Raw genomic sequence first — 13,299 nt, 5'->3', positions numbered from 1 at the left:
ATCAGCAGGTCAAAATAGTACAAAGGCTTTCACAAAAGAAAAACGTGACTTCTATGGATTTGTTTTATTTTTCTGTTGAGATCAATTATTTGCCATATTGTTCATCTGCTTTTAATTAATCGTTAGCTAACCATGATTAAGTGAAGAAGCTGATTGTTTTAAAAAATCAAAAAATATTAGTAAAATAAAAATTCTATATCTTCATTAATATTTACATCGATTAACTGACCAGAATACATTTCAATGCAATAATAGCTGCTTGAATTTACTGTCAATACACAATGACATTTGACTTCTGAGTCAGTGGGCACATTCCAAGCTTGATTTCTTCAGACAGCGCACTCTGAAATGGAGTGTTTATTTGAGAGGGCTCTTAGTATCAATACCTGTGGAAAGCAGAGGTAAGGAGCAGAGTTTAACAGTGGCCCTGAAATACCAACAACAGCAACAGCCTCAGCAGACCCCACAGGTTGCTCTGAAGCTAAAAAGCCCTTCAGAGACTGGCTAGGTCTTCCTACTCTACAGTGATCGATGTTTGAATGTGGGCTGCTTCAGACAGGGGATGTGATACCATCCCCAAAGAGGATTGATAGCTGATGACCTTCTTCCAGCAGCACTATCAGCAGCTAAAAGAATAATTCCTGTAATCCAGAAGACAGACTGGGGTGGTATGTCACTAGTCCACCATAGTATATATGTATAAAATCTAACACTCATCTTTTTAATAAAAGTCATAGAAATTAGGGAATATAACACAAAAACTAAACACAATCAATATTATTCAAAAATTATTAAACATTTTGGAGCTGGGAATAAAGCACTTGATCAGAGTTACAGTACCTATTAGTTCCTTAACATATCTGGAAAAAGAAGAAATTTAAACCCATTAAATTCCCATGAAAAATAAATGAAATAACCACTTCTGGGAAGAAAAGAATATTCCAATATAATTATTCAAAACATGAAAATTAAAAGATTTCCTGTGTTAGTTTCTAAAGTAAATTTCCATGCAAAGGTTATTTTAATTATCCAGCATCCACATGTGTTATAAATGTGCTTAACTTGATAAATGTACCTTCTATAAATGTCTTGCATTAGTGCAATGTCAGTTATATTAATTATCATTTTAGAGTCTGCTTTTGATTAAACTGTGTATGCTTAAAATACAATTAGGATACACAAACATAATGTCTCACTTATAAATATTTATAGATGTCATTTTTAGCAATTATTTGTATCTTTATTTGATAGCAATAAAATGTAAGCATTCAAGAACACTGGGAGTTTCTATACAGATTTTTTTCTGTAAATAGCATTTGATAAGGACTAAGCATAATATTTTCATTAACTGTATACTTGAATCATCATCATGTACGTGATATGATTAAGAATGCATTACATAGTATTGTATCGAATAGTCAATTACATGTAATTAATGTATACATTGCATTGCAAGATAAAAGAAGACATGAAGAAAATGTGTGACTCTTTTGTGAGCTCCAGGAGGCCGGGGCAGCGTCTGCATCTGTTTTGCTTACCACTGAATCCTTGGGTCTTAAAGCATATGGCACATAGCGGGCTCTCAGTTTTAAGCATTTGGTGAATAATGAAGGGATTATAAATCTCAGTTTTTAAAAAAGCAAGTTTTCTTCCATTTCCAAAAATGAAGGAATCTGGTTCATGGTTGTTTTCGGGTTTAGATAAAAAGTTAAGAATAAACATTTTAATGGCAAATTTGAATTTACATATTTAGGTTAATACGTTCCTTGCTCTCTGTATTATTTCACAGATTGAAACAGATCCTCCTTTTACTTAAAACAAAAGATTTATTTTCATTGCAAGATATCAAAATGAGACCTAATTCCAATTTTAATATCATATTGCCCAGCAAACATACTAAACAGCAAGTGCTAAATGTTTTGGAGAAAGAGCTATTAAAATTTTGTCAGCAGGATAAATAAATAAATCCTTTTAATAAAAAGGATATTTTAAAGTTTTATATATTTGCTCTACACTTCCAAATTTCTCAAAATGTTCTTAGAACCCAATTGAGTTTCTCCAAGAATAAGTAGGAAAAAAATTAAAGAAAAAATATAGAATGTGTATATAAATGGAATTGCCAAAGCCAGCCATGTTATTACAAAACACCAAGATAAACTCAGAATGAAAATGACCCTAAAAAGTTGCAAATGAGTATGTTTTGCTGATTTGGAAATACCCAAATCCAACCACCCCCATGTCTTAAGTACTATAGTTTACTACACTTTTTTCTAGAAATAGAAACATAGCCACTCTATATTTATGTTCTATTAGTGGCTGAGTTTTGGCAGTCATGCCAAGAGGATTCCAGAAATGAAAAAAAAAGATTTTGTATGAGTCATCTATTATGAGCCTCCATAAATCTACATCATTACCAAAATATGACCAAAATTGCTATGTGAATACCCAAGAATTGGAACAGATGAGAGAAACAGGGTATTATATTAGAATTCAATTAGTTCTAATATGGTAAGAAAGCTACATTCATCTTGGAGTCCATGAAAAATTTTTTGCTGTTTTGGGGGATCTTCTTTTTAATGATATGTTGACTTGAACAGAAGGCTGATACAGGAGAAGATCTATGGCACAGGCTTGTTACCCACTACTGTAACCACAACAGTATGTGATGGCGTGTGCTCCATCCTCCCTGCATTTCAAGGCTTAACTTTAAATGGTCAATACTTACATAGAATACATGAAGACAAGACTGTAAATCATTTGAATCACAGTCCTCAAAAGAATGGCTTTCCCTTATTTTCTAACATATGTTGGACTAATACTCCTCTAGGAGTTCTTTAACCAAATTATAGTCGCACTACAGTTTTGAATACAAATAAATATCTCATTTCCTTGAGTCTATGCCTAAAAGTCACTTAAAAAAAGACATATTTTACACTATTTTAATAATATTTTACTTCTAATTTTATTTGTTTCAAAGATTTCACTGAAGAATCCTTTTAGAAAAAGCTATTCTAGAAATTCAAGTAGTAATATTTCATGTCATTTCCATTAACTAGTTACACATTACATATTTCATCTACTAAAAACCTAATGCCGTTCCCCAAAACACACACATATGCACACACGCCAATCTGGAACCTAACAGGAGGTTAGTAAATGTTACATCAGAAGGTAGTGGCAATTCCTGCTAGTAGCTTATATTAAAACCAATTGATACAGGCCTAAAAGTAGGAAAAAGAGTTATTTCTTTAACTGATCATCTGAAATGTGTCACTCTAAAACAATTTTTTGAGAGACAAGCACTTAAACACAGTTCACTAGCTCAGTTCTAAGACCAGAGCGATGTTCATGAAAATGTGACAGAACCACATATAAAAGGTGATTTTGGAATAGAGTATGATAAGACTAAATGCCTCATTAAGACAAAAAGTCCTGAGCACTTTACCTGTTTGTTAAATTTTGCCATGACCTCCACTTTACAGATGGTAAATCAAAGCTTAGAAGAGTTAGGTAACTTACCCATAAATCCACTGCTTATAAATGGTAGCTTCAATCAAAACTCAGGCCGTTTGACTCCAGTGCTCACATTTTCATACTGTGGCTATACAATGGAGAGAAACACACACACACACACACACACACACACACACACACACGCATGCATTGTCAACCATTTCTATTCTGTGGTATTTTTATTATTCCAGGATTTTAAAAAATAACAGATGAAACTGCCTTTTCATTGGCACATGCAATTTTTTTGACAGAAGATACCACAAATATGTGGAACAGATAAATAAAATATAAAGTACTATATAATTAATATACATGGTAAATAGTATAGACTAAGAACAACATAGAGATAAGAAAATGGGGCAGTGATGTGGACTGAAATAGTTAGAAAAAGATTTTCCAGAGGTAGTAGACTTGAAATGGATTTTGACATTTGAGTGATAATTGGACAGTCGTATTTGAGAATGGATACTATTCTCATCTGAAAGAAAACCACACAATTAGCTGTACAATAAATAAAAGTTAGAGAGGATCACCTTAGTTGTATAAAATGTAAAGAGCCCATAAAGTTACACAGCATCATGATAAGATTATTAATACCAATTACACCTAAAGGTTATCTACTTTGAATAACACTAACGACTAAGTTAAAGAATAGTGTGTTTGAATACTTTGTGATTTATGAATATAAAATTCAAGAACAGGCAAATAATTAATCAACTACTAAAATAGAAGTCAGGCCAGGCAGGGTGGCTCACACCTGTAAGCCCAGCACTTTGAGAGGCCCAGGCTGGCATATCACTTGAGGTCAGGAGTTTGAGACCAGGCTGGCCAATATGGCGAAACCCTGTCTCTACTAAAAATACAAAAATTAGCCATGCATGGTGGTACATGCCTGTAGTCCCAGCTACTCAGGAGGCTGAGGCAGGAGAATCGCTCGAATCTGGGAAGCAGATGTTGCAGTGAGTCGAGATCACCACTGCACTCCAGCCTGGGCAACAGAGCAAAACTCTGTCTCAAAAATAAATAAATAAAATAAAATAGAAGTCAGACTAGGTGACTACTAGTCAAGAGGGTATTGACTGGGAAGGGGCACAGGAAAACCTTCTGAGGTGCTAGAAATATTCCGTCTTGATTCGGGTGGTGATTAGAGAGATGCAAGTAAAAATTCACTGACCTCTCCACTTGAGATTTGTGCACTTACAAACTTCCTCTTTGTGAGTTATACCTAATTAAGTAAATCAATAAAGATTAGAGTCTTCAGCAGGAAACAGGGTTATTTAGTGTAATATACATTTAACATTGGAAAAATCTTTACTGACCATATGGACTACACGGTAAAAAATGAAAATAAGAATTAAAAAAAATCTCTCAAGGTTAACAATTCCAACTCTGGCCTTCACAGATAAGAAAACTGGCACCAAATAGATGCAAACAGTTGCCCTGGGTCACATGACATTCAAAGGCTAACATGGATTAACATTGTTGAAAGCTTTTCTATCCTTTGGTCATGCCTCCATAATATATTTCATGCACCACATATTTCTAAAAAGAAGCCTGATACACTGTTGAATTCTTAGTAATATTTATTTTCCAGTTTCCATATTATCGCTTGCTTTGGTCACACTTATTTTTCCTCCTTATTCTTGACCTCTCTAAACTGAATTATTTCAATCTTTCCTTGAAATTGAATTTTATTCATTTTATAGAAATTTGGCAACTGTATTTGTCCTGAGACTTCAAAAAAATTCCCTCTGTTACTGAGGAGACTTTCACCTGAGTCATTTTGTGCTTATCAGCATTCTTTCATGTGCATAGTCTTTGCTCCTTTGCTCTATAGGTAGAGAAACAGGTGATGTTGATATTGATGCAGACAACATTGCTCCAGGTAGATGTGTTCTCCCAGGTCCTTTTGCCTAATTTACCTACCGCTGATCTCCAGAATAGCTGTTCACAATGGCACCCTACCCTCCCCCCAACAACCATCCTCCTGTTATTCTCAACTGCTTCTGAGACTTTAACAATGAAATTTGCCTATGAGAAAACTGCTAAGTGCTTTTTCTTTGTGTGTTTTTCATTCATGTAGCTCTCAACTCAAAACAGCATTCTCTAAATTTTGTATGTGGAGCACAAGTGTCTTTTTTGTAGAGATCTTGACATTACTTAGATATGTCAAGGTTTGTTGAAAAACTTTAGGCAAATTCACGTGCCATGACATCATTGAATTACCTGTGGAGCAATCCCTTGGCATATTAATAAACAACTGTAAATGGCCCAAATACAAATATTGCTGAAATAACTAGATGCAATGCATAGGTACATTTGTTGTCATCATATTCACAGATGAGTACAATCTAAGTTTCTTTTTTTTTTTTTTTTTTTTTTGCAAGTCTACTATTTTACCTATAATTAGAGACATAGCAATCTGGTGAGCTTTAAGCTATTCCAACAATCTTCAGAACAGTTTATAGTCAAAGGCAACAGATCCCAGAACTTTGTTATTCACTGCCAAACTTTCCATGGGCCAACTTGGTTCATATTCTTCTTTGTTGACATAAATATGACAATTCAGATGAAGGCAGATTCAGAGACCTCTGATCCATAACAGCCAAGAAAATTCTATCATCACTCTAGATGGGCTGTGCCAGATTTCTTCCATCTACCATTTCAGATCCACTTCCACCCTGATCCATCCTGCTCTGTGTTCCAGGAGGCTGATTCGAAGGGACCTTTTCAAAGAGTCCCCTTGCCTTCTGGCTTCCTGTTGTATTGGCCAGTGGAGAGCACCAGTAAGACATAGGAGGCAGCTCTTCATAGAAGGCAGCCTAACAGAAAAATGATCTTCATTCATGGGATAGAGAAAGCTGAGCATTTTTTCCCCTGGCTTCTTGGAGGGAGGATCACCTCAGCTTGCTCTATCCCATGAATGAAGATCATTTTTCTGTTAGCCTGCCTTTTCCAGACATTCTGTTCTGTCTCTAGATTCTATCACCACTTCCTTCCCTTACTCCTTTGGGCCTAGGAATAACAGTCTCCACTAGTTCTGGGTTCCTGACTTCCCATATGGTTTTCCTTGCCCACATCTTTTCAACTGACCCCTTTATTATACTTCCTTCCAATTACTCAATTTGAGTGTATCTGTTTTGTGCAGGGACCTTAATGATAATTTAGCTCCAATAAGCCAGTGAAAATAACTTTGGAAATGTGGCCCATCTGGAAAAAAGAAATGTTTTGTTTGCTTTCTTTCCACCTCCAAGCACGCAGAGTAGTGGAGTATTAAGTGAGCACCAGACTGCCACATCAACCTGATTGTCAGTCCCAACCTTCTGCCTAAAGTCTCCTGATAGTAACTGTCAGGCCTCTGAGCCCAAGCTAAGCCATCATATCCCCTGTGACCTGCATGTACACATCCAGATGGCCAGTTCCTGCCTTAACTGATGATATTCCACCACAAAAGAAGTGAAAATGGCCTGTTCCTGCCTTAATTGATGACATTATCTTGTGAAATTCCTTCTCCTGGCTCATCCTGGCTCAAAAGCTCCCCTACTGAGCACCTTGTGACCCCCACACCTGCCCGCCAGAGAATAACCCCCTTTGACTGTAATTTTCCTTTACCTACCCAAATCCTATAAAATGGCCCCACCCCTATCTCCCTTCCCTGACTCTCTTTTCGGACTCAGCCCACCTGCACCCACATGAAATAAACAGCCTTGTTGCTCACACAAAGCCTGTTTGGTGGTCTCTTTACATGGACACACATGAAATTTGGTGCTGTGACTCAGATCGGGGGACCTCCCTTGGGAGATCAATCCCCTGTCCTCCTGCTCTTTGCTCCATGAGAAAGATCCACCTACGACCTCAGGTCCTCAGAACAACCAGCCCAAGGAACATCTCACCAATTTCAAATTCGGTAAGCAGCCTCTTTTTACTCTCTTCTCCAACCTCCCTCACTATCCCTCAACCTCTTTCTCCTTTCAATCTTGGTGCCACACTTCAATCTCTCCCTTCTCTTAATTTCAATTCCTTTCATTTTCTGGTAGAGACAAAGGAGACACATTTTATCCATGGACCCAAAACTCAGGCGCCGGTCACGGACTCGGGAAGGCAGCCTTCCCTTGGTGTTTAATCATTGCGGGGACACCTCTCTGATTATTCACCCATGTTTCATTGGTATCTGATCTCTGCGGGGATGCCTGCCTTCATCATTCACCCATGTTCCCTTGGTGGCAAGTCAATTGCAGGGACGCCTGCTTTGGCTGCTCACCCATGTTGCAGCCCAGGGCTGCTCCCCATCCCCTTCTCCGTGTCTCTACCCTTCTCTTTAAACTTGCCTCCTTCACTATGGGCAAACTTCCACCCTCCATTCCTCCTTCTTCTCCCTTAGCCTGTGTTCTTAAGAACTTAAAACCTCTTCAACTCTTGCATGACCTAAAATCTAAGTGTCTTATTTTCTTCTGCAACACCCCTTGACCCCAATACAAACTTGACAGTGGTTCCAAATAGCCAGAAAATGGCACTTTCAATTTTTCCATCCTACAAGATCTACATAATTCTTGTCATAAAATAAGCAAACAGTCTGAGGTGCCTGACGTCCAGGCATTCTTTTACACATCAGTCCCTTCCTAGTCTCTGTGCCCAGTGCAACTCGTCCCAAATCTTCCTTCTTTCCTGTCTGCCTGTCCCCTCAGTCCCAACCCCAAAAGTCACTGAGTCTTTCTAATCTTCCTTTTCTACAGACCCATCTGACTTCTCCCCTCCTCCCAAGGCTGCTCCTCGCCAGGCAGAGCTAGGTCCAAATTCTTCCTCAGCCTCCACTCCTCTATCCTATAATGTTTTAATCACCTCCCTCCTCACACCCAGTCCGGCTTACAGTTTCGTTCCTCAACTAGCCCTACCCCACCTGCCCAGCAATTTCCTCTTAAAAAGGTGGCTGGAGCTAAAGGCATAGTCAAGGTTAATGCTCCTTTTTCTTTATCCCAAACCAGACAGTGTTTAGGCTCTTTTTCATCAAATATAAAAACCCAGCCTGATTCATGGCTCATTTGGCAGCAACCCTGAGATGCTTTATAGTCCTAGACCCTAAAAGGTCAAAAGGCTGTCTTATTCTCAATATACATTTTATTACCCAATCTGCTCCTGACATTAAATAAAACTCCAAAAATTAAATTCCAGCCCTCAAACCCCACAACAGGACTTAATTAACCTCACCTTCAAAGTGTACAATAATAGAGTAGAGGCAGCCAAGTAGCAACGTATTTCCAAGTTGCAATTCCTTGCCTCCACTGTGAGACAAACCCCAGCCATATTTCCAGCACACAAGAACTTCCAAACGCCTAAACCGCAGTGGCCAGGTGTTCCTCCAGGCCCGCCTCCCCCAGGAGCTTGCTACAAGTGCCAGAAATCTGGCCACTGGGCCAAGGAATGCCCGCAGCCCAGGATTCCTCCTAAGCCACGTCCCATCTGTGCAGACCCCCACTGAAAATCGGACTGTTCAACTCACCTGGCAGCCACTCCCAGAGCCCCTGGAACTCTGGCCCAAGGCTTTCTGACTGACTCCTTCCTAGATCTTCTTGGCTTAGCAGCTGAAGACTGACACTGCCTAATCGCCTCAGAAGCCCCCTAGACCATCACAGACGCCGAGCTTCAGGTAACTCTCACAGTGGAAAGTAAGTCCGTCCCCTTCTTAATCAATATGGAGGCTACCCACTACACATTACCTTCTTTTCAAGGGCCTGTTTCCCTTGCCTCCATAACTGTTGTAGGTATTGATGGCCAGGCTTCTAAACCTCTTAAAACTCCCCAACTCTGGTGCCAACTTAGACAACACTTTTTAAAGCCCTCTTTTTTAGCTATCCCTACTGCCCAGTTCCCTTATTAGGCTGAGACACTTTAACTAAATTATCTGCTTCCCTGACTATTCCTGGGCTACAGCCACATCTCATTGCCACCCTTCTTCCCAATCCAAAGCCTCCTTTGCGTCTTCCCCTTCTATCCCCCCACCTTAACCCATAAGTATAGGACACCTCTACTCCCTCCTTGGCGACTGATCATGCACCCCTTACCTTCTCATTAAAACCTAATCACCCTTCCCCTGATCAATGCCAATATCCCATCCTGCAGCATGCTTTAAAAAGATTAAAGCCTGTTGTCACTCGCCTGCTACAGCATGACCTTTTACAGCCTATAAACTCTCCTTACAATTCCCCTATTTTACCTGTCCTAAAACCAGATAAGCCTTACAAATTAGTTCAGGATCTGCGCCTTATCAACCAAATTGTTTTGCCTATCCTCCCCATGGTGCCAAACCCATATACTCTCCTATCCTCAATACCTCCCTCCACAATCCATTATTCTGTTCTGGATCTCAAACATGCTTTCTTTACTATTCCTTTGCAGCCACTCTTCGCTTTCACTTGGACTGACCCTGACACCCATCAGGCTCAGCAAATTATGTAGGCTGTACTGCCACAAGGCTTCACAGATAGCCCCCATTACTTCAGTCAAGCCCAAATTTCATCCTCATCTGTTACCTATCTTGGCATAATTCTCATAAACCATACGTGCTCTCCCTGCTGATCATGTCCGACTAATCTCCCAAACCTCGATCCCTTCTACAAAACAACAACTCCTTTCCTTCCTAGGCATGGTTAGTGCAGTCAGAATTCTTACACAAGAGCCTGGACCCCACCCTGTAGCCTTTCTGTCCAAACAATTTGACCTTACTGTTTTAGCCTAGCCCTTATGTCTGCGTGCAGCAGCTGCCGCTGCCTTAATACTTTTAGAGGCCCTCAAAATCACAAACTATGCTCAACTCACTCTCTATAGTTCTCATAACTTCCAAAATCTATTTTCTTCCTCATACCTGACGCATATACTTTCTGCTTCCTGGCTCCTTCAGCTATACTCACTCTTTGTTGAGTCTCCCGCAATTACCATTGTTCCTGCCATGGACTTCAATCTGGCCTCCCACGTTATTCTAGTTACCACACCTGACCCTCATGACTGTATCTCTCTGATCCACCTGACATTCACCCCATTTCCCCATATTTCCTTATTTCCTGTTCCTCAGCCTGATCACATTTAGTTTATTGATGGCAGTTCCACCAGGCCTAATCGCCACTCACCAGCAAAGGCAGGCTATGCTATAGTATCTTCCACATCTATCATTGAGGCTACCTCTCTGCCTCCCTCCACTACTTCTCATCAAGCTGAACCAGTTGCCTTAACTCAAGCCCTCACTCTTGCAAAAGGACTACGCATCAATATTTATACTGACTCTAAGTATGCCTTTCATATTCTGGACCACCATGCTGTTATATAGGCTGAAAGAGGTTTCCTCACTACGCAAGGGTCCTCCATCATTAATGCCTCTTTAATTAAAAACTCTGCTTAAGGCCGCTTTACTTCCAAAGGAAGCTGAAGTCATTCACTGCAAAGGCCATCAAAAGGCATCAGATCCCATTGCTCTAGGCAACGCTTATGCTGATAAGGTGGCTAGACAAGCAGCTAGCTTTCCAACTTCTGTCCCTCACAGCCAGTTTCTCTCCTTTACATCGGTCACTCCCACCTACTCCCCCGCTGAAACTTCCACATATCAATCTCTTCCCACACAAGGCAAATGGTTCTTAGACCAAGGAAAATATCTCCTTCCAGCCTCACAGGCCCATTCTATTCTGTCATCATTTCATAACCTCTTCCATGTAGCTTACAAGCCGCTAGCCCATCTCTTAGAACCTCTCATTTCCTTTCCATCATAGAAATCTATCCTCAAGGAAATCACTTCTCAGTGTTCCATCTGCTATTCTACTACCCCTCAAGGATTGTTCAGGCCTCCTCCCATTCCTACACATCAAGCTCGGAGATTTGCCTCTGCCCAGGACTGGCAAATTGACTTTACTCACATGCCCTGAGTCAGAAAACTAAAATACCTCTTAGTCTAGGTAGACACTTTCACTGGATAAGTAGAGGCCTTTCCTACAAGGTCTAAGAAGGCCACCGTGGTCATTTCTTCCCTTCCGTCAGACATAATTCCTCAGTTTGGCCTTCCCACCTCTATACAGTCTGATAGCAGACCGGCCTTTATTAGTCAAATCACCCAAGCAGTTTTTCAGGCTCTTGATATTCAGTGAAACCTTTATATCCCTTACCGTCCTCAGTGTTCAGGAAAGGTAGAATGGACTAATGGTCTTTTAAAAACACACCTCACCAAGCTCAGCCACCAACTTAAAAAGGACTAGACAATACTTTTACCACTTTCCCTTCTCAGAATTCAGGCCTGTCCTCAGAAGGCTACAAGGTACAGCCCATTTGAGCTCCTGTATAGACGCTCCTTTTTATTAGGCCACAGTCTCATTCCAGACTCCAGACCAACTTGGACTGTGCCTCAAAAAACTCCTATCTTCTGTCTAGTCATACTCCTATTCACCATTCTCAACTACTCATACATGCCCTGCTCTTGTTTACCCTGCCTGTTTACACTGTTTCTCCAAGCCATCACAGCTGATATCTCCTGGTGCTATCCCCAAACTGCCACTCTTAACTCTTAAAGTAAATAAATAATCTTTGCTGGCAGAACTATGCTGAATCTCCTTGGGCACTCTCTAATTAGATGTCCTAGGTCCTCCCAATTCTTAGACCTTTAATACTTGTTTTTCTCCTTCTCTTATTCCGTTGTTTTTCAATTCATACAAAACCGTATCCAGGCTGTCACCAATAATTCTAAATGACAAATGTTTCTTCTAACAACCCCACAATATCACCCCTTACCACAAAATCTTCCTTCAGCTTAATCTCTCCCACTCTAGGTTCCCACACCACCCCTAATCCCACTCAAAGCAGCCCTGAGAAACATCGCCCATTATCTCTCCATACCACCCCCAAAAATTTTCGCTGCCCCAACATTTTACCACTATTTTGTTTTATTTTTCTTATTAATATAAGAAGACAAGAATGTCAGGCCTCTGAGCTCAAGCTAAGCCATCATATCCCCTGTGACCTGCATGTACACATCCAGATGGCCAGTTCCTGCCTTAACTGATGACTTTCCACCACAAAAGAAGTAAAAATGGCCTGTTCCTACCTTAACTGTTGACATTATCTTGTGAAATTCCTTCTCCTGGCTCATTCTGGCTCAAAAACTCCCTTACTGAGCACCTTGTGACCCCTACACCTACCAACCAGAGAACAACCCCCTTTGACTGTAATTTTCCTTTACCTACCCAAATCCTATAAAATGGCCCCACCCCTATCTCCCTTCCCTGACTCTTTTCAGACTCAGCCCGCCTGCACCCAGGTGAAATAAACAGCCTCGTTGCTCACACAAATCCTGTTTGGTGGTGTCTTCACATGGACGCGCATGAAAGTAACCACCTAATATAAACTGGAGTGTTTTAGCACCCGGTAAAGCAATTGTGACATATTACAAGCTTGTCAGAATTTCTGTTTGAGAGGAAATTACTTTAAACCATAAACCCCCGAAGTTAAGTAGTATGTTAGTTGTTTAATCTTCCCTGTATAGTAGGATTTATGGACTAACTCATGATGGTGATGATTGATAAGAAAGTGAAAATAAACATTGCTGATAATTAAACTGTGCTTCTCCTAATAGAATGTTTTCAATTATACCTGAGCAAGGTCAATAGAAAACAATGTTTTCATTATAGCTCCAAGTCCACAAATGTTAGTCATTTTATACCTACATCTTCTGAGTCAACTGTTGCTTTCCCACCAATGACATCTCAGCCCTACTGCATTCTTTTGCCTCTCAAACAAAGATCATTGAGGTATCCA

The 13,299-nt window shown here is 40.1% G+C and overlaps 1 long non-coding RNA gene across 1 annotated transcript in view, besides 1 other annotated feature; it reads right to left on the bottom strand.

Moving 5' to 3' along the window:
• LOC112267962 (uncharacterized) overlaps nucleotides 1-13,299 on the bottom strand; it is a 162,505-nt gene that overhangs the window by 124,816 nt on the left and 24,390 nt on the right. The gene's annotated exons all lie outside the window — the stretch shown is intronic.
• Nucleotides 6,759-7,278: an enhancer, noted in NCBI's record as "NANOG hESC enhancer chr6:81225104-81225623 (GRCh37/hg19 assembly coordinates)". NCBI's record gives its function as "activates a minimal SCP1, AML or CMV promoter by ChIP-STARR-seq in naive H9 embryonic stem cells {active_cell/tissue: H9 hESC(naive)}" and the evidence as "EXISTENCE:reporter gene assay evidence [ECO:0000049][PMID:30033119]".

This window comes from Homo sapiens, chromosome 6 (assembly GCF_000001405.40).
Source record: "Homo sapiens chromosome 6, GRCh38.p14 Primary Assembly".
NCBI classification, from domain to species: Eukaryota; Metazoa; Chordata; class Mammalia; order Primates; family Hominidae; genus Homo; species Homo sapiens.
This window is presented reverse-complemented; position numbering and strand designations above follow the sequence as displayed.